The sequence below is a fragment of the Homo sapiens genome, chromosome 3 (assembly GCF_000001405.40).
Source record: "Homo sapiens chromosome 3, GRCh38.p14 Primary Assembly".
Lineage (NCBI taxonomy): Eukaryota > Metazoa > Chordata > Mammalia > Primates > Hominidae > Homo > Homo sapiens.
In genome coordinates, this window is record NC_000003.12 from 101162812 (window position 1) to 101164843 (window position 2032).

General features: G+C 40.2%; 1 pseudogene; it reads left to right on the forward strand.

Annotated features, from left to right (window-relative positions):
- Positions 846-1232, forward strand: ACTR3P3 (ACTR3 pseudogene 3; annotated as a pseudogene).

Below are 2032 nucleotides of genomic sequence, written 5' to 3' on the forward strand. Positions count from 1 at the left end.
CTGAGGCAAAAAAATAATCTAGAAATCAAAGTATTATTCTACTGCCCCTATAACTTCCATTCAAAACAACCTGGCCTGGGTCTGACTGGGGCATGGGCACAAATGGACCATCTTGACTTCCTGGGAAAAGGCAGCGAAAGAGGAAGAAGTTGTAAGAGAGGGTACCCAGCTATGGAGTGTTAGAAAGTCCCCATCTCCTGCCATGAATCTCAAATCAGTACTGACCAGATAAAGCAGTGGGGTGGCAAGAGGGAAGAAAGGGTGATAGCAGCAGGAAGGAAGATGGTGGGACAGCTACCAGTGCGTATGGTGGATTGTGGCACTGAGTATACAAAACTGGGACATGTTGCAAATACAGAACAATAGTTTATTATCCCTTGATGTATTGCTTTCAAGAATTCAGCAAAAGTGGGCAATTAGGCTCAAAAGAGGGTGATAAAGAAAGCCAATGTCATAGACTTCTTCATTGGGGATGATGTAACAGGAAAAGCCACATATACCATGAAGTGGTGAACCCACCATGGTTTAGTTGAAGACTGTTGACAGAAAGGTTTGGAGCAAGTAATCTTTAAATACTTAAAGCAGAACATGTGGGTCATTACTTTCTTTTCACCAAACGTCCACTGAATGCTCCAGAAAACAGAATATGCTACCGAAATAGTGTTTGAGTTCTTCAATATTCCAGGCTCATACATAGCCATACAGGCTGTTCTTGCATTAGCAGCATCCTGAGCATCAAAACAAATAAGAAAACAGGCATTGACTGGTATGGGAAGAGATAGTAAAGATGGTGGCACTCCTGTCCCACCTCCAACTGAAGGATATGGGGTTGGCAACTGCCATCCCACCTCCAGCTGAAGGATATGGGGTTGGCAACTGCCATAAGCACATTCCAATCATAGGGCAAGCATCACATATTTCATTCAGCAACTGTTCAGAGGCTGAGAAGTAGAAATTCCTTCAGAGCAATCCCTAGAAACAGCTACTGCAGTAAAGGAGTGCTACAGTTATGTCTGCCCAGATTTAGTAAAAGAATTTAACAAGTATGACACAGATGGGCCAAGTGGATTAAACAGTATAATGGAATCAGGGCAATCTCAAAGAAAGAATTTTCCATTGACATTAGTTATGAGAGATCTTTGTGACTTGAAATCTTTTTTCACCCAGAATTTGCTAATTATGACTTCACACAACTACCTAAGAGGTAGCAGATGAAGCAAGTCAGAATGATCAGAATAATATTCTGGCTGGGCATGGTGGCTCACGCCTGTAATCCTGGCACTTTGGGAGGTCAAGTTGTGTGGATCATTTGAGGCCAGGAGTTTGAGAACAGCCTGGCCAACATGGTGAAACCCCGCCTCTACTAAAAATACAAAAATTAGATGGGCATGGTGATGCACACCTGTAATTCCAGCTACTCGGGTGACTGAGGCACGAGAATTTCTTGAACCAGGGAGGTGGAGGTTACAGTGAGCCGAGATGGCGTCACTGCACTCCAGCCTGGGTGACAGAGCGAGACTGTTTAAAAAAAAAAACAAAGAATTATCAGAGCTGAGCTGATATCAGAGTTTTCTCTGCAAGAATATTAACCTCACTGAACTGGATATGCAGGAACTTTGAGTATTGTTTTTATATTTTGAAGGAAAAAAAGTGACCAAGATAAATTTTTTTAAGTAGCCTCACACACACACAACGTGAATGTATTTAATGTCACTGAAGTATATGCTTAAAATAGTTAAAATAATCACCTTTATGCAATGTATTTGCTTTTTAACAATTTAAAAGATAAATAAATGCATTCTTAAGTAGCCCTATGACACTTAGCATTACTCATTCATGAGACAAGGAATCCCAGTAATTATGAATTTCTACCATCCTCCCCACAAAAACAATTTGGTTTTTGTTACAAGTGCTTTTAGAACTAAGAAGTTAATATCTTAGATAAAGTCTACTCATATTCTTTTTCTTGTTAAAAAAAAAAAAAAAAGGCAAGACTGTTGGACCAGTTATACTTCATGTGCTAAAAAAGCAG